At 34.8% G+C, this 20,733-nt stretch overlaps 1 protein-coding gene across 19 annotated transcripts in view; it reads right to left on the bottom strand.

Annotated features, from left to right (window-relative positions):
* Positions 1 to 20,733, bottom strand: part of ARHGEF12 (Rho guanine nucleotide exchange factor 12) — a 153,525-nt gene that overhangs the window by 78,370 nt on the left and 54,422 nt on the right. For 9 of the 19 annotated variants that reach the window (NM_015313.3, XM_006718805.4, XM_047426659.1 and 6 more), the window contains exons 2-4: positions 5,427 to 5,450; positions 3,745 to 3,830; positions 2,118 to 2,174 (exon numbers count right to left, since the gene is read on the bottom strand). The exons of 1 other annotated variant lie outside the window; for it this stretch is intronic. In NM_015313.3, the coding sequence (NP_056128.1) occupies positions 2,118 to 2,174; positions 3,745 to 3,830; positions 5,427 to 5,450 (167 nt within the window). The remainder of the gene's footprint in view (positions 1 to 2,117; positions 2,175 to 3,744; positions 3,831 to 5,426; positions 5,451 to 20,733) is intronic. 9 more of the 19 variants (NM_001198665.2, XM_047426660.1, XM_017017420.2 and 6 more) reach the window with 1 other exon arrangement.

Raw genomic sequence — 20,733 nt, 5'->3', positions numbered from 1 at the left:
AAATAAATAATATGTGAGTAACTAGCATTTTTGTTAAGTACTCAGCTAATGAATTTTACCCCGAGAAAGCAATGTATAATCTCTAAAGTTTGAAGTGGGCTTATAATAAGACCCTACACTAAAGCAGAATGTCACCAGTTGCTATGATTCTACTCAGTAGTTTCAAGCTTTTCTGAATCCCCAGAGAGACTTTTTCATCTATGCTAACTGTACGTAATCTAAAGACGTCTATTCACACAGGTGATAAAATATTTGTAATGTCAAAGAGATTTACGTTAGCATGCTAATTCTGTTCTAATCAACTCATCCCTCCGATGAGTGCTTTTTGAGGACTTGTGGACTCAGTTCCTTCCAAAAAAGGTATTTCAAGGGTTCTCAAAAAACAAACACACAGAGAAGCCACACCTTACTTCCCAATTACCACTTAAAATGTTTCTATCACTACCAAGCCAATGGCATGCCTGAACTAGTATTAATGTTTCTATCACTGCTAAGAAAAATATTAGTATAGTATTTCTAGTCAGAGGTTCCTAAATTGTTAGTCTTCATCCAAAGCATACAACAAGCTTCTAAATACACATCGCAGATCTAGGAAAATGGAGAGGAAGACGAAATAGAACACTGCAAAGGCTACCGAAAAAGAATAGAGCTATAAAGATAATGTTCATGTTCCTAAGGAGAGGATAAACTATAGAAAGCTCTTTATATAGAACAGAAATATAGTCTCCAGGAATTAGGTAGTTCTTACTTATCAGTAGCCAAAATACTCTGGAAGGAAGAAAAAGCGTAAACTTGATGTGTCACAAGGCACAGTATACATTTACTGCTGAACTACTGTAAAAGGTATACACAGAAAAAGCACTGGTCACAAAAACCCAAGTAAAGAACTATGTGTATATATCTAACATAGAAGAATTAACTGGTTTAGAACCAAACACTGAGCTTTCATAATACTAAAAAGTATCTGATATGGGCTCAAGTGCCAGCAGATGTGAATTATCAAATGTCTTAAAAAGGGGAGGGCAATTCCTGTATTTTTTCCTCTCCTATATATCAAGCTAGGAAACATCTATCTGCACCTGGGGGAGCTTCTGCTCTATAGATTTGTGGCTCTATTAAAGATGACCTGATTTCCCTTCGAGGCCAAATTTGGAATCTTCCTAAAAAAAGAAATAATTTATCAGTCTTTCAGAAATTATTTTTAAAATCTTAGCTCCAGGTAATTCCTCTCTTATTCACTTTTCTCAAAAAACAAAAAACCAAAAAAAAAAAAACCCCAAAACAAAACCCTAATCAGACTCCAAAAGAAGGAAAGAGGGCAAATAAAACTGCAAAGGAAAAGGAAAAATAGGTATGAACTTCACAAACATGGTTATTGTATCTTTGGAAGACAGGACACAGTCTAGAAATATTAGCATTTCAATCATCTGCTGCAAAAGTTGACCACTCAGGTTAAACTTGCTCTTTGTTAAGATTATTTAAAAGGTACCATTCTGAAATTTTCCCATTCCGATTAAGCTTCAGAGAAACTTCTCAAAGGCACAAATTCTTCAAGCTATGAAGATAAAATACTTACGTATTTTTGCCATCGTGGATAAATTATACAAGAATGACTTTTCCACATGACGAGGCAATTAAAAATAAACAAACAAAAAATGAAATAAAAATTCCAAAGAACTGCTAATACGTCTAAATTACACCAGTATTATACTTAGAGGAAAAGACTTAATTCCTCAAATTCTTCATAATCCAAACTCTGCAAATGAGATGTGGGAAGAAGATGACAAGAATTCAAAGCCCATTCATGTTATTTGGAGGAACCTGACCCAAACATATTAGAGATAATCACCTTCCTACCATAAACAAGACGGGAGAAGATGGGCAATGTGGCCTACTCTTAATCTACAATGTTAGTTTCTAGCAACCTTAAGCTTCCACATCACAGCCACGTTAAAACCCCAGGCTCCCTTTCCCTGCAGTAGATCATGCCATGCACAGCAGACACAAGAAAGGCTGCAGTTATTTAAAAAGAAAGAAAGAAAGGAAAAAAAGAACAGAAAAGGAACACCATGAAGCAAGCTCCAAAGGGCAAGGCTGAATTAGCTACATTAGCTTACCATATATCTCGGATCTACTCTCCTCTGAACTAGACTTTGTCTTCTTGGAGGAGCTATCTGCACAAGAGCGGGAGAAAAGGAGAGAGATATAGAAAATATGGAGACAATGTAAGGGGAAAAATTCATGGGGAAAAAAGAATGAATCATGATCAAGTTAAATCGTGCAAACACAAAGTATGAACATAACAGATGACAGCACTTAGAATAGTCACAAACAGCACAGGTAATGACATATTTTAAAGATTTATCGAAGAAAAGACAGTGCAATAAAAATATGTTCAAACAAAACAACACATGAATAGTATACAAAATATATCACCTGATAATTGTAGAGATGACAAAAGCACTAAAAGCTATAATGATCTCATTATGAAGCATTGTATACATCTTTGCTTAAATCTGTCTTTGGAGATGGGCACAGCACAGATGTAGATACAAAATAAACCTAACAAGATTATATTTTTCTGAACATAGGGCAGAAACTTTTGACCTTATTGGCAAGACAATACCTAATCATGTAAATGAAAGCCTCTGAGCCCCATGACTACAAAATTAGGCATCAGAATGGAAAATTCTCTCTTCATGGAGATCTGTAAGTGACATAATACATAGTCCCACCACCAAAGCCTCCTAAATTGATGATTGGAATTTCATTTTACCTACTACCCAAAATGCAGAAAATGATTATCTATGTGCTTCCTAGATAATATTTATAATATTTTTTCAAAATAAAGGAGTTTATACTAATAAAGTATGAAATGTCTTAGATAAATAAAACATACTATTCTCTATTAAATATTTAAAATTATATTTCTAAGTAAAAATACCTAAAAATAGATACATTATTTTTATGTATCTGAGATAGCGGGATTTACTTCGTCTCTTGTCAAAGGGACAGGCAACTGAATAAAATAGTATGTGCACAAAAAATATATATCAGTTTCAAATGAAAAAAGCAAGATTACCAAGCACTTTCTATGAATCAAATATGGAGTAAGCTTACAAGGAGAAAGCAAAAGGAAAAAGCCTAGATGTTTTAAAAGGAGATCAATCTGAAAGTCTGTTAAGGTGACAACCCTAGGAAAGATCGACACTGCTTAGGTTGAAAGACAGCTCTTTAAGTTCAGAATACTTTTTGACTGAAGAGAAAGGGATTTCTATTCATTTGTTTACTCTAAAATGAGACCATCATTAATTTGTGAAACTGATTTATCTAAAACTCCAATTCACCATAATCACAATTGAATTTTTAGATGACTACGCAAGTGTCGAGTTGTTAGAGCCTTGGTTTTATGACATATTACTGCTTATACCATGATTCAACTTAACACTGAGTTCTTGATCTGACCAAATCTCCAATTATTATATAACCATTTCTATTATTATCACTATTTAAAGATACAATATACTCTACAATGATACTTCTGTAGTGGAATGTACAGTGTTGGAAGTTAAAAATGCTTGCATTCCTACTAAATGCAAAGGCTTTATTATGATATAATTGGAGGAATGTGAGAGTCCTAAAACAGATCAAACAACTATTCCTGAGTGTTTCGGGTAGCTTAAGCTCTATTATTCTGAACTTCACTACTCTCAATACTCTTTGAAAGAATGAATAGTGTTTTACCTGTGGGGTCAAAATCATGTGATGCAATGCGCTCAACTTTCTGCTTCTTATCTGTTGGTGACTCTCGGTTCAAAATACTTCCATGCCTAAATTAAAGCAAAGTAATCAAATGCTTAGTGCAAGAAAATCATTAGAATAAAAAATTTAAAATTCTAAAAGTGGATCTTACAAGAAAAACCAGGAAATCAGTTTACTTTACACAGCACCATAAGCCTCTCTAATTTACATTTTTCAATAAGTTTTGGTTATACACAGTCTATTTACTTGATTATAAAAACTGCTTAAAATAATTAAAAATAGTATTCAGCATTAAAGTCTCTTTTATTCTCAGAAGTAACTGCTTACATTTTTTTTGTGTGGTTTTCACAGGTCAATACTATCATTTCCATTTAACAGACAAAAAAAACACAGTGCCTAAAAGGAATTAAACCCATTCTCCAACTCTACATATACTATGATCAAGTTCAAAATCACTGCATAAATAGAGCATGCATGAGAACGGTTTAACATTTAAAAAGCAGCCTTAGGCAAGCCTCATTTTAAGCCTGCTGATGTAGTTCTAGCCACAGAAGTCTTAGCCAACCACTTTAAGGACCAATGACATTATTATTATTATTACTTCTATGGCTTAGCCAATTACACTGATCAGATAATGGTTGGGTGACAAGACCATAACAATAATACATATGTACACATACACATATTCACTGAAATGCCAAGGTTAGCATTGGATCCTGGACTATGCTGACACTAAAAATGATAAAATATAATAATTAGGAATGACATACTACCTACATTTTAAATAATATTTATGATAAGATAACAGAAGAAATGCTGAAAGCAAAAATACTGAGGAAGAGGCATTTAAGACCTGGAAATGAATAAATATATAGACATGGATATAGGCATAGATACATTTTAACATTTTGGATTTTTTTCTTCACTGTCTTAAAGTAATTAAGACTAGGCTGGGTGCAGTGGCTTACGCCTGTAATCCCAGCACTTTCGGAGCCTGAGGCGGGCGAATCACGAGGTCAGGAGATCCAGACCATCCTGGCTAACACAGTGAAACTCCGTCTCTACTAAAAATACAAAAAATTAGCCAGGCGTGGTGGCGGGCGCCTGTAGTCCCAGCTACTCGGGAGGCTGAGGCAGGAGAATGGTGTGAACCCGGGAGGCGGTGCTTGCAGTGAGCTGAGATCGCGCCACTGCACTCCAGGCTGGGCAACAGAGTGAGATCCCATCTCAAAAAATAAAATAAAATAAAATAAAAAATAAAGTAATTAAGACTAAACTAGTACCAAAGTACATTAACTAAAGGCAATTATAGTCACACAAGTGATAAAACACATCAAAAACTAGCATTCTATTTTCACCTCCTAAGCTACTCATAATTCAAAACAGTCACAAATAGACTTCAAAATTAAGTCTCTTCAGTGTGACCTTAAATATCCTTTTGAACAAAATTTTTAAATGCTTATATTAGAAGTATTATCAAAACAATGCTGTCTTCCAGAAAAAGTAACATCTTTTACATTTTAAATTTGTAAAACATTTTGAAATTTTGAATTACTTGAATACACATTCTCAAAAACCACAAAAATCCACCATAATTTCAAAGGGATGCTTATAATTAAAATATAACCTAAACTTGAGTATGAAGTGTAATTGAGCAAACTTACCTTATAGGTTTTTTGAGGGGAAACCTGAAACAAAGAAAAAATAAGGATAGATGTAGTTACTTTACTTGTAAGATTTTGTTACTAAATTTATTCATCCTACTGAACCAGAATAAGAGATTTAAATCTTATGGTAACTTTCCAATAGCAAGAATCAATAAGCTGGAGGAATAAGAAGTTGAACACCATGTTTAAGTATCTTAACTACTTTGTTAAATCTTAAACTGCCAGTGCATTTACCATCAGCTGTCCTAGAATATAGCTTTTCTTTTTAAAAATCCCAATAATAAGAGCAATTGCTAAATTTATAAAGGGCTTACCAAATGCTATGCATTATTTCCACATGTATTATCTCGTTTAATCTTGAAAAAAAGAAATCTCTATGAAGAGATATACTTTCCATTTTATAGATTTTTAAAAATCAAGACAAAAAGAAATATTTTGCCATTAAAATATTATTCTCACTGTTTTCCTAGAAGGGAAAGTTCCTTCCTTCCCATCACTTCACACTACTTCCCAAAATATCTGGGTGTTGATTACTGCACTATTGATCTATGTCATCGTGATCCTCAATTATTAGGTTTAGATTTAATAACAGATTATCTAGAAAAAAATTAACATTAAAGTAATTATCGGTTACAAAAAATACCTTCCAAAAGTAGAAAACAAAGGGCACTTTCCTGTTTTGTTTTTCTGGGGGGGTCCTATAAGCTGAAAGAACTACAGCATTTCCTCCTGGTTCTCTCTCTTTTAAATGAATACTGCCGGAAGCTTCTTGATAAGCGTTTGATGCTATATATAAATGCTAATCTAAGTCTTCTCAAATATCATCCTACATTTTGATTTCTGTCTTTTAAATTATTTCAACCTATGGCATTTTATGTAAAGATTATTTAGTAATAGGAACCGTACTTTATTAAGAACATCAGTAAAACTAGGGTTTTAAAAAAGCCTATTAGTAAAGACAGAAATAAACATAATACAATGATACTTCAATGACTACATTTCATTTGGCATGGAGGTAGAAACAAAACCTCCAAAATACAAGCTGACTTACAATTCCCTTCGACACCTATTTAAACCAAAATTGATCCATAGAAAAAGACTAAGAATCTAAAACCTTTCCTAATCAGTGATAGCATGTTAACTTACAAAGAAGTAGTGGTAGTAAGTAAAGGGGGTTCTGGGACAAGATGACACTGCTCTAGAGAACAAACTGACTTTACAAAAGACCACGAAATCTTCAGAAATAGGAGTTCCTAAGCAGTCTGTCCATAACTGTTGAGGTAGGAGAGGGAGGGAATGGGAACATGTTTCTTAATTTACAGATGAACATACAAGTTGACAGAAAGGATTCCAACTGAGTTTCTGCAAAGGATAACAACTGCCATTTATCAACCTTAGGCACTCGACCTCACAGCCATTATAAAAACTCCTACCCTAAAACAATGCTGCTTGCGTCAGGGACTGCAACATCCAGGGGGATGCTGGTAAAGAATCCCGGAAGTTCCCAGACTACTGATTGTAAACCCGTTTCCTGAGCTATTTTCTCTTACAAGGTAATGAAAAAGGAGAGGAAAAATGGGGACAAAAACGGAATGAGAAAATGAACAAGGACCACGCCCACAGTCCAACTTGCTTATCATAATCTACTTACTACTTCAAGTATAGATTAAGAACGTCTCAAATAATATTAAAATCATAATTTTTTCTCTAATCATTGAATTCTACTTTAAAGTATCTGCTAAAGCAAATAAATATATGTGTACATATGTGTGTATATATATGCTTATATGCATAAGTAACAATGTCAAGAACCTTCTTGGCTATTTCATTAGTTCTCTCTGCTTCAGCTAGGAAAGTCACCAAGATAATCCCATAGTTTTGCAAAATCCCTACCACATGCTGAATATTGAGACAGATGTAATCAGAGAGCTGGAAATAGAAAGCTAGAACCTCAAAGAAAGCCTGGGGCTAAAGTTGCAGATTTGAGTTATCAACCTACTGATGGTCACTGAAATGTAAAACACCAAGGAAACTTGAAAAAATGCTCAGGCTCAAATATGGGGGAGAAACTAGCATCTGCATGATTGAGAATGGAGGTAGGAGATTAAGAAAATGAATTAGAAAAGAGAAAAGCCTGTCCCAGAAGGGAAGGAAGATCAGATAATCCATACTATCAACTGCTACAGAAAGGCAGGTCTGAAAGCTACAAAGTGGCCAGGTCATAAGCAACAAATCAGTTCAACCATTAGTCTGATGAAATACATTCTGGTGAACAAAACTCCTATATTTTTAAGTCCCTGTCCACTGTGTAGTCTAATCATGAAATCATGACAATATCTTTTGGATCGATATTATGTAGAACAGCTGTATGTGACTATGACATAATGTTACAGGTGCCTAATGAAACTGTGCCTGGTTTTTGAAAATATCATATTGATAACTTGGACACTTGGTCAACAATGAATATACTGTGTTTACTTATATGTGTGTGTGTGTATTTTTCTATTAACAGATAGCAAAAAAGTCAAATTCCAAAATGAAGAACGATGATTAATAAAGCAAAGAATTATCAGGAATTTGAATCACTGGGATATGGTGGCTAGATGCCTTTTTTTTTTTTCCTTTTCTTTTTTCGATTAAGTCTCGCTTTGTCACCCAGGCTGGAGTGCAGTGGTGAAATCTCAGCTCACTGTAACCTCCACCTCCCGGGTTCAAACACTTCTCCTGCCTCAGCCTCCCGAGTAGCTGGGGTTACAGCTGCGTGCCACCATGCCCAGCTAATTTTTGTATTTTTAGTAGAGACGGGGTTTCGCCATGTTGGCCAGGCTGATCTTGAACTCCCGACCTCAAGTGATCAGCCTGCCTTGGCCTCCCAAAGTGCTGGGATTACAGGTGTGAGCCGCCGCGCCTGGCCTGCCTTTACTTTTGATTTTGTATATTAAGCACAGCTACATTTTAGAAATCTTAACCAAAGGCCTTAAACGTTCAGAATACATTTATTCACTCAACTCAGAATACCTTTTCCTTGTTAAATTCTGAGTTCTAATTTTAAAGCCCTAGGTGGCCCTTCCCGATGTGTTATTACAGTGTAGAGGGAAATGTGATTTGGTAGTTAAATAACACTTACCCAATAAATAATGTATACTAGAGTAAGACTTACATTTTAACCAAGTTTAATTATTCTAATAAGCATACACAAACACACAATTTTGTAACTGGAATAGTCCTTTAATATTGTTAAACAGAATTTCTTTTGGACTTAAAAAATTGCAAAGGACCAGAAAGTTTTGTGTCGTCACATATTTGCTTATAATAAATAGCCTGCTAGAAATTGTTTTTTTCTTTTATTGATTTCAGTGCATAAAGAGCCTTTTGACAATACTTCAGTGAGAAGTGTTCTGAAGCCATATGAGAAGAAATGCTGATATCACACTCAAACCTTAATTCATACCCTTTTCTCTCTCCTCTAGGGTGTTAGATATGTCTTCCCTGGGCTTAGTTATAAAGGAGCATTTGAGACTGTAGTTGGTTCTTCTTAATAAGGAATGGTTGAAATGAAGGGGAGATGGTTAAACAAATTTTTCTTACATTGGATAGTGGTTAAGATTTTATTAGCAGTCAAAGAATGTTACCTATTAAATTTAGAATTATCAAGAATTCCATTAGTAGATACACTCTGATTTTAGTGATGTTAAAATGAGGAGGAAAAAACACTGCAACTTGATTTTGAGTGAAATACAGCACCATTTTATTGGAACCCACTCCAGTGAGAAGAGTTACTAGACAAAGAATTGCAAATCAGACAACAATGCAGGTAATTTTAAGGCTCAACCATCGTAAGACGATGTAAATATCAGTGCAGAAACTATACTATTGAAAATCAGAAATGGACAGGGTGGGATGGGAATAGTATTATTGATTGCTATAAATGAAAATTCCCTAAAATTTCAAGGCCTTGGGGGCAAAAGACTCCTCAGAAACAAATGTAACTGGGTTAATATTCTAGTTTCATAATTTAACAGGTATTTGAACTTGAACAAGTTGCTTAACCTCTTTAAGCATCTCCTCTAAAACATAATTACTAATACATCTACCTATACCTCACAAATTTGTTTTGGGGATTAAATTAGAAAATAAGAAGCATTGCCTAGCAAGCAGTAACCACTTATGTATTTACTATTAAGAAAAACAAAAATAAAATCTGAATGTTGGTGATATGTATTCAAATAAGCAGAAAAGAAAAAATAAATTTAAAGACTAAATATTCAAATAAGTTTTTAGCTAAGTAAAATGCATAGAAATATATAATTCAAAGCCAGTGATGAAACCACAGATTTAATTTACCAAGTGGTATCATAGAAAATTCATGTCAATACTTGAACTTCTCAGACGTTACACTGTAAGAAAAAAGATCAGGTTACAATCTGCACTTTAAATTTTCCTGGCAAGCAGGGAAAGTGATTTTTTTCAAATGTAGTGAAATTGTGTTGACCATACCTGCCACTTACTAGCAAAAAAGTCCATTATTTCCTCATCTCCTTTAAAATATCAAAGGTGATTAAGGCATCCTGTGGGCTGGATTTAAATCAAGTTTTTAATTTATCTGTTTCTACAAAACAATTAGAATGGCTTAAAACATGGTACTTAAAATTTGAAACTGATATGAATCTAAACTGCCTTGCTCTATTATTATTATTTTTCACAAAATAACAAAACAGCTAAGAGGACATTTGTCTGCAATACATAAGAGCTCTTAAGTATAGGGATTTAGCACATAGTGCTGACTCCAGCTGAACTGCTAATTCAATCTTTAGTTCTCTGGACAGTAAGATTCACAGAACCAAAAGTATTAAGTGACCACTCGCTTACCTCGCAACTACAACAAAATAAACAGTCATAAATCTTTTCACCAGTTACAATTTATAATTGGTCTAGCTTAGAGCCATTAGAAGAACTAAAAATTGTGGAATCGGGAGAAAAAAAAGTCTGAACGTTATCTACAATAGCCATACTGCCATACTTTTTTATTAGCATATAGAACCAAAGCATGAAAAGCGGCTAGGAGAGCTGGCATTAAAACACTAGTTATATCCGAAGGACTATAAAACAGAAGCTACAGCTGACGGAATGACTCATGGAGAATTTCCCATGGTGTTCTTTGTTTTAAGCCTCTGGACCTTGCAACACAAACCACAGACAGGCAGGGACCAAAGAGCTCAGTTCTGGTGCAAAATCCAAAAATGATTCACTAGCATGTAATATAAAATCTCAAATTACCTTCTTAAATATAGCTTAGTACACCACCACTTTTACTGAAGAGCTTACATGCACAACAGCCCCTTGGTTAGGCTCTCTTACTTCCTGGACACACTTTGACAAATCAAATAGTAAACTTTTTTCTAAATTACTTTCATTCCCTCTGCTGGAGCTATTATAGATTGACTATTAGTTGTTGCTGACTGAGAAATGCAGCTCACAATTAATGTGACAGCTTATTAGAGACTTTCATTTCCTCATTGACAATCTGGAAAATTATCACTTTTGTGAATATTCCTTAAAAGGTTTCTCCACCACTTTCATTTGTGATCATGAGTATCTGATTACTAGTACCTTATACTTTTTTTTAAAGACTATATTCACTTCAGAAAACCAAGTAAAAAGAACTGCTAGGAAAGTATGAGATCCTCAAAATACTTAAACAAGTATCCTCACCTCAGTGAACACCATGCAAACCACCAAATTCATGCTTATGGAAGAGATATTAATATCATTTAACAAATGTAAATAAACTGGACTCTACAAAATGATCTCATTACTTATAAAACAGGGGCAATGCATGATTCTGTTTGCTAGGAATTTAAATCTTCATCTCATTTCACATTTCTCTACTTCAGAATATACTGGTAAAAATAATAAAAATAAGAGTAGAAAAAAATCCCCTTAATCAAGGATGGGCATTTTTCACATAAATATTGTATATAAAATATATTATGATTAAATGTTTAACAATCTATAAACTGAAGTGAGAACAGGTGAACAAAATTTGTTAGGACAGGCTGCTTTCTACACATTTGCCAAAAGATACAAATGTACTTCTGAAAAAGTAGAAAGTCTTAGCTTTTAAGTGTCGTTGAGACAGGCTCCAACATACAGTGTTTACTTTTCAGTCTGAGCTTGAGAACTTTATTTAAATGCAAAATTAAAATAAAAAATACTGTCTAATAATATTTTACTTTTTTGAATAAACATAGAGCATTCTATGATTTAAAAAAAGAGTACTACTCAAAATTTAAATTCTGACATTACCACTTTAAATCACAGTACATTTGCAGTTTGGTTGCATTTTTTATTGAAAAAACCTAAGGCATTCATAAAAATATCATTCTGCAGCAAGAAAAAGTGATTCGACAAGTTAATTATAATGACTTATCTTATGTATCAAATATGTCTTACTGTGTGCCAAAAAAATCACAGGAATAGGAATCTTTTATTTCTGAAATCTCAGGAGAAGGGAAAACAACCAAAACTATACTAACCCCAAATCACAGAGTATTTATTCATGATCCTACCTTCAGGTGTTACAGTTGGTATGCATTCATTGGTTGAGTACAAAGAAGCCCAACCACAGTCATACATATGCCAGACAGCTAAACAGACAAGGATTTGCCAAAAAATCATCAAGGAAACCCAGAAAATCAGAAAAGTATAAACTTCGTTCTCATGTGCTCTAAAAATGTGTACCATCTCCTCGAATTAACTAGACATAGATCTATTTATCTTTCTTTTCTTTTTTTTTTTTTTTTTTTTTTTTTTTTTTGGAGACAATGTCTCACTCTCTCACTCAGGCTGGAGTGCAGTGGCACAATCATAGGTCACTGTAACCTCGAACTCCTGGGCTCAAGGGAATCCTCCTACCTTAGCCTCCTAAGTAGGTAGGACCACAGGAGCATGCCACCACACCCAGCTAAATTTTTTAAGAATTTTTTTGTAGAGACCAGGTCTTGCTGTGTTGCCCAGGTTGGTCTCAAACTCCTGGCCTCAAGCAATCCTCAAGCCTCAGCCTCCCAAAGCACTGGGATTACAGGCATGAGACACTGTGCCTGACTATATAGGTCTATTTCTTATGGAGAAATAAAAACCTTACATATTAATACTTTCCAAGTAGAACTCTAATGGAATAAAGATTGAACATATTTCCTGTTCTGTACTCAGAATTTTTTTAATTATATAAGAAATGTATTATGGGTAATTTGTAAAATTTAGAGGTTATACGAATATAAAATACAGGTAAAGATAAAACAAAAAACGGATCATAACCAATATCATTACAATTAAATCTTCTATATAACACCTTCTGCATTAATAGAAAGCATTTTCTTCTGCGGAAATTCTTTTTCATTAAAAATACTTTTATTGGCTATAGTTATAACAAATGCTGTAATTAAATTTTTGGTTTTGTACTAAAGAGACTTCTTTTCACAAGTGCTCTGGTTCTGGTGTCAAACATTACGAATTCCTCAATCAGAATTAGCAATCCACCTAGTTTATCACACACACACAAAAAAAACACACTTTCTGCTGCCAAATCTGAATACCCCAGACTTTCAAACCACCATCGATAAAAGGACCTCTGATTTTATGAGGAAAAGATGAGGAAATTAATTATATGCATGCCATTTTACACTGGCTTCTACAAAAGCTTTTCTTGACCCAAAACAAAGAAATCACAAGTGGGATATACCCTTATCAGTAACAATGGCTCACCACAGCACTGAATTTGAAAGGTTGGAGGATGAGTGTTTTAGGAATTCTGACATTCCTCTTACAACATCTCAGAATTGGGAATCACTGCTCTACAAAGTTCACTGTGTAACACTGACATTCAGTTATGTTTTCTCCGTTAGCTGTTACAAATGTGGCTTATCCTAATATACTTAACACACAAGACCACTGACACTAGTAAATCTGTTACTAATATTTTTTATAACATTTTCAAGATAATTCCTCTCTCAAGGGATTGAGTAATGAGACTGCCGTTTTTCCAAACTGTAGTTTCCTATAAAGCAATGGTTCTCTCTGCCTTTTCAATATGAAGAAATGTCTCACTTTCTTTATGTCCAAAGAAGTACACGTATAAACTTTTAAAAACTAAAGACAAAATAGTAAACAAAAATCACCCATAATCCCAACACCCAGCATTGTTATGCATATATTCCCATTCTTTCCCAAAATAGAGATAGATTTCTGTATACAATGTTTAAAATTTATTTTCATAAAAATTAAAGCATACTGGACATATTGACAACTTTAACTTCATAAAATATCAACATATGTTTACATATTAAATATTTCACTACAGTGCTGGTTTTAAACTGTGCTCTATAAAATTCTAGAGGTTTAAAAGAGGTCCCTCACAGAGCGGGAGTGTGTAGATGGGGCTCTAGACTTCCCACATATCAGAGCTGCTTTGTTTTTTATTCATTCTATATATTGAACTTCCAAATCAGATAAAGATTTAAAAAACATAGTTCTAAATAATTCTTGATAACTGCAAAGTATCCTGTGATATGGCTATTTAATTAAGAAGTTCCCTTTTGTAAATATTTAGGCTGGGTCTAATTTTTCAGCATAATAAAGAATGTTATAACAAATATCCTTGTAACCCAAGTTCTATACTCCCCCTTGATTTCTTCCTTGGGATGAATTCATTTATAGTAAGGAATCCAGGTGGGAGTTTGGACTAGAAATGACAGGAGTTTCTGTGGGTACTAGGTAAACAGAAAAGAGAGGACACACTCGTCCCCGAGATCAATTCCATGAACTCATGTCAAATCTTTATGGAAACAGCAGCAGAAGCTGAAGAAGCTTGTTTTGGCAACAGACCTTGTAAGACAAAGGGCCAGGGTAAAATTATTTTAATGCCCAAGTGACAAAGTGTGGCACGAAATCGGTGAGAGAGACTCTCTCCCTATTTGTGTTGAAAGTAGAAAACAAACACACAAACAAAACCCAGGGATACACATAATAGCAATTATTATACTATCCACAAACTGAATAAATGCCCAAAGCTACAATTCATAATATTTTTAGGAGAATTTGTATTTTGTTAATGACAACACCAACACATTGGAAGACTAAATGTAAATGTGGAAGATGCATTTCTTAGGTAGTATGTGAAAAGCACTAAACTCATATAGAGATTCTCAGTTTCTCTGTATTAAACATGAAAGCAGTCCTAATTGGGAACCATTATATTTGTTGCAGGTTGAATTGTGTTATCTCCAAAGACATGCTGAAGTCTTAACTTCCATACCTGTGGGACTTTATTTGGAAATTAGGTCACTGCCCATGTTTATGGTATCATACCTAAGAAATCTTTGCCTAACCCCAAATCACAAAGATTTACCCCTACATTTTCTTCTAAGAGCTGAGTGACTTTCTATTTTACTTTTAGGTCTACAATATATTTTGTAATAATTTTTATATAGAGTGTGATATCCAATTGAAATCCAATTGTTCCAGCACCGTTTGTTGAAACTGAATTGCCTTTTGCACTTTTGAAAATCAGTTTTCCATATATACGTGGGTCTATTTTTGGAATACCACAGGGGTGAAGTACCCTTTTCATCACCCATCAGAGGATATATGACACCAATATGACTTAACACTAGTAATGTTAACTTTGGTCATTTGGTTAAGGGAGTGGTTGCTCGACGTCTCCCTGTAAAGTTATTATTTTTCCCTTGCCATATTTTTTTCTTTGAAGAAGTCACTAAGCCCAATCCACACTAGCATCTGAGAGGATTAAGCTCCATCTCCTGGGAATAGGAATCTACGTATACTATTTGAAATTTTCCTGTAAGGAAGATTTGTGTTTTCTCACCCATGTATTTATGTAATCATTTTTATCAGTATGGGCTCATGTATGTTTATTTTAGACTTTGAGTTCTAATCCAATACTACGTTATTTATTCTCTTGCTCAAATTCTTCCCGTTTATGCCACTGACATGCTCTCACCCTTCTGTTTGGGCACTTTCTTGTTTGTGGCACTATAAGGCACTCTAGGTTCAACTTGCATTTTCCCTATTGCAGCCTTAGAGTCAACCATTTCTCCAAGGAGCTATTTTATTGGAGAGTGATATTTAGTAACCAAGATCCAGGAGCTGGGTGCGCTCACTGCTACTGAGATGTCACCATTTCTAGGCCCTCTCAGCAGAGAGAGCAGGGAAATGAATGTGTTATACTAACTGGGGTATACATACACATGATATGGTTTGGCTGTGTCCCCACCCAAATCTCATCTTGAATTGTAGCTCCCATAATTCCCATGTGTGGGAGGGACCTGGTGGGAGGTAATTGAATCATGAAGGGGGGGGGTCTTTTCCCATGCTGTTCTTGGGATATTGAATAAGTCTCACCAGATCTGATGGTTATATAAAGGGGAGTTCCCCTGCACGAGCTCTCCTTGCCTGCTACCATGTAAGACATGACTTTGCTCCTCACTTGCCTTCTGCCATGATTGTGAGGCCTCCCAAGCCATGTGGAACTGTGAGTCAATTAAACCTCTTTCCTTTATAAATTACCCAGTCTCGGATATGTCTTCATTAGCAGTGTGAGAAGAGACTAATACAACATATCTATAATTCTTTCTGTAGCTATCCATATATCTGTATCTATATTAAGCTCAGCATGAGTTCATACTGATATCTCTAATTCTAATCTAATTCCATCAGGTTCATTCCAGTCTTCTCTCTTGCTTAGCTCCTTTGAGACAGTGAGAAACATAGTTACCACCATTTACCATCCATTTACTTACATTGCCTGATTTTTGTAAGGTGAACCAATCTTGCACTCCTGGGATAAACCCTACCCGGTCATTACACACACATACATACACACAGAGTGCATATATATTTTATGTATTTTCCTGTTTTATGTATATGTAATATATATTTACATATTGTATATATATTGTTGGAATTTATAAAATTACCAACCACATTCCATCTAAATTGTTAAATTTATTGCCATAAAGCTATTCATAATGCTCCCTTATCTTTTTTTTTTTTTTTTTTTTTTTTGAGATAGAGTCTTGCTCTGTTGGGCAGGATGGTGTGTAGTGGCACCATCTCAGCTCATTGCAACCTCTACCTCCTGGGCTCAAGCGATTCTCATCCCTCAGCCTCCCAGGTAGCTGGGATTACAGGTTCGCGCCACAATGCCGGCTGATGTTTGTATTTTTAGTAAAGATGGGGTCTCACCATGTTGGCCAGGCTGGTCTTGAACTCCTTGCCTCAAGTGATCTGCCCACCTCGGCTTCCCAAAGTGCTGGGATTACAGGCGTGAGCCACAGCACCCAGCCTCCCCTATTTTTTTTTAATATCTGAAGAATCTGTAATGATGTCACCTCTTTCATTTATGATATTAGTAATGTGTGTCTTCTCTCTTTTCATCCTGATCAGCTGGCTAGAGGTTTAATAATTTTATTAATTTTCTCAAAAGAACCAGATTTGGGGTTAATGTTCGCTACTGTTTTCCTGTTTTCTGCTTCAGTGATTCCTGCTTTCATCTCTATTTTTTTTTTCTTCTGCTTGCTTTGGTTTTAATTTGCTCTTCTTTTTCTAGTTGCTTAAAATGAAATTGGTCAGGTACGGTGGCTCACACCTGAAATCCCAGTACTTTGGGAGGCCGAGGCAGGAGGATTGCTTGAACCCAGGAGTTTGAGACCAGTCTGGGCAACACAGTGAGACCCCATCTCTACTAAAAAAAATTAGTGGGGCACACCTGTAGTCCCAGCTACTTGGGAGGATAAGGTGGGGACAGCCTGAGCCCAGGAGGTTGAGGCTGTAGTGATCAAACCACTGCCCTTGAGCCTGGGCAACAGAGTAAGACCCTGTCTTAAAAAAAAAAAAGAAGCTGATGTCATTGATTTTAGACCTTCTCTCTTTTCTAATAGGTGTTTAATGCTATAAGTTTTTATGTAATGCTTTAATGGCAACCAACAAATTCTGATATGTTGTGTTTTCATTTTCATCCAATACAAAATACTTTGCCATTTCCTTTTTTATTTCCACTTTGACTAAGAATTGTGTTATTTTCCAATATTTGGAAACTTTCCAGAGATCTTTTATTGATTTCTAATTTCAGTCCATGGTGACCAGGAAACATACTTTGTATGACTTGAATCCTTTTAATTTATTGAAATTTACTTCACAGCCCAGAATTGTGTCTGTCATGGTAAATGTCCCATGTCTGCTTGCAAACATGAAAAAAAAAAAAAGTATTTGGTTGTTGGCTGGAATGTTCCAAAAATGTAATTAAATCAAACTGGCCAACAGTATTGTTTAAGTACTCTATATCCTTGCTTACTTTATCTACTTTGATCAATTACTGAAAAACGGATACTGAAATAACTGACAATGTTTGTAGATTTGTCTATTTGTCCTTTCAGTTATGTCAGCTTTTGTTACATGAATTTTGATGTTTTGTCATTAGGTGTATACATGCCTAGATATGTCTTCTTTTTAAATTGACCCTTTTATCAGTACGAAATTACTTTTTTTATCCCTGTTGATATTCTATAATCTTAAATCTACTTTATCTGATATTAATGTGGTCTAGTTTTCCTTTAATGTAGATTAGCAGGGCACATCTTCTTCCATCCTTTTACTTTTAAACAATGTGTATTTTTAATTTTAAGGTGTGTTTCTTGTAGCATACAGTTGGGCTTTGCTGTTTCATCTAATCTGATAGTCTATACATTTAATTGGGGTGTTTGGACCATTTACCTTTAGTGTGATTACTAATGTATTTAAGTCTATCATCTTGCTATTTGTCTCATCTGTTGTTTCCCTTTTCTCTTTTTCATCTTTTAAATTATTTTAATCAACTGATTTTTAAAACAATTTTAATATTCCGTTAATTTGGCTCTCTCACTAGATTTTAAATTATTTGAAGGCAAGGACCACATTCTATTTGATTTTGTATTCTACTTAACTATTATGGTGCTGAGCATACGCCTGACAATTCAATACATTTTTACTACATGAATTCACTCATTCCATACATTTTTATTGAGAACTACAGAGGATATAAGTTACCCCAGAAACCACAGCCTTCCTTTTAAGAGAACTCCGATTTTATTCAGTTATCTACTATTCCTCTCAGAGTCCAGATGACTCAGGTCAAGCCAACCCCATCTGTAGCAACAGTGATGGGCCTTTTTGGCCTAACAGTAATTCCATTCTTGGGTAAGCAATTGGTTCCAAAAAAGCCAATAAAAGTAGAAACAAAGTTCACTGGTGGCATCTATGAAAGTATTTCCTTATTCTTGAGAGAATGATGTGAAACTTCTTTCTCTCCCTCCCACTGAACCTGAGTGAAGAAGCAAGCAGCCTTAACAGCTACTTCGCATTCATCTTTAAGGACTAGTTTAGGATGAGGATGATTTTGATGGCAAGAGTGTAAAGATGGAAAGCATCTGAGCCCTTGACATAGTTACGTCCCTAAATCAAAAATCTCTGAAGCCTACGTCTAGATTTCTTTTTTATGTGAGCCAGTAAATGCGTTACTGCTTAAGTCAGTTTGACTTGTGTTTTCCGTTACAGGCAGCCAAGTACATACAAAGTTACACAAACACCAACCTATGCCAGGAGGTTCAAGACACTGGAGGTTACGTTAATGAACAGATAAGGTCCTTGCTCTCAAGCAGCTTACATTCCACAGGAGGAAGATAAACTCCACAAAAAAATAATTGTACCAAAGAATTTCAAATCGTGGTAAGTGCTATTAAAAAAAGATATTATTTGACTAAATACATTAATTTAGTTTATTCAAAAAAGACCTTAGAGGCATTTAAGCTGAGACTTAAATGAAGGAGCCAGCCATGGGAAGATGTGGGCCACAGAATTACAGGTAAAGGAAACAGCTAGTACAAGAGTCACAAAGGATAAGCAGATTAATGTATTTGAGAAATACAAAGTCCGCTGTGGCTTAAGCATAGAAAATGACCAAGAGAGTAGTAAAGTAGTGCTGAAATGAGATCCACAGAAGTAGACAGGGGCCAGCTAATGTAAGAATGTGAGCCACAGAAACAGGCTTAGAGTTTATTCATAATATAATGGAAAACCACTGGAGAGTTTTACATCATGATCTAATTTGAACACTAAGGAAGTTAAGTACAGTCTGTTTACAGTTTATTTTGTCTCAAACATCAAATACTTATGCAGCATCTAATATGTGGAAAACACTGCATAAAGTTTATAATATTGATATATTATTTCTCTCCCTCACTCCTCAAGCAAGAATTTCACATTATCTTGAAGGTAGATTTTTAGAAAAAAGAGAAAAATAAGAAGAAACTAGCAAAGAATGGGAGGCGCTATTAAGTTGTCCTTTCTATCCTAATTTCTCTAGATTATGTCTGAAACTTACAGTTTTTGTTTTGTTTTTTAAAGCATAACAATACTGAGAGGCAATCTGGTAAACTTAGAACTATAGTTCAGCCATTAGTCTCTGCCCAGGCAAGTGTTTCAGCCTTGTTCTAACACAAGTATTTGGATTTTTCCAAGAGCTGATGTCAGGGCTTTTCACAGAGACAGAACAGCATTTATAGGCTAGAGAAGGAAAAAGGGTTTCCCCAGCAGCTATGCTCAATGTGGCCTTTGTACTGCTCTACTGCCAAAGGCAGGAAGACCCTGCTAGATAGAGCTATTTAATTCCTGGAAAAAATTCTACCCTGGGAGGGTGGAGGATGGTGATTGGCCAGATTCCCCATTAAGGAAACAGCTTAATTTTCTATCAAATTAAACCCAAATTTAAATAAGCTCATCATCAGAACAAAGGTTTCTTAATTCTTATTAGAAAAAAATCATTCTGTGGAACTTGTATATAAGGAAGAGATGAACCAGCTAGAATAAACATACATTATAGAGGTAAGGAACAATACAGTAAATTGTGTCACATTTCCTGGGGTTAGCTTCCCTGAAAAATATTCATTTGGGAAGAATGGTTAGGTGAAAAACACTCAAAAGCCTCAAACTACATTTGGTAGTCAGAAATTGTGCTAGGTGATAGCTTCAAACACATCATCCATTATCTATAAGAACAATAATTAACAATTAAAATGGTTACAATAATAGCTAAAACTTGAGTAGCTTTACTTGCATACTTACAGTATCTGCTTTAAGTACTTTTTATGCATTAATTCATTTAATTTTAACAATAATTCTATAAGTAAAATGTTTAGCCTTGTTTTATTGAAGAGAAATGTGAGGTTCTGAGAAGTTAAGTAACATATACAAG

The sequence above is a fragment of the Homo sapiens genome, chromosome 11 (genome assembly GCF_000001405.40).
Source record: "Homo sapiens chromosome 11, GRCh38.p14 Primary Assembly".
Taxonomy (NCBI): Eukaryota; Metazoa; Chordata; class Mammalia; order Primates; family Hominidae; genus Homo; species Homo sapiens.
This window is presented reverse-complemented; position numbering and strand designations above follow the sequence as displayed.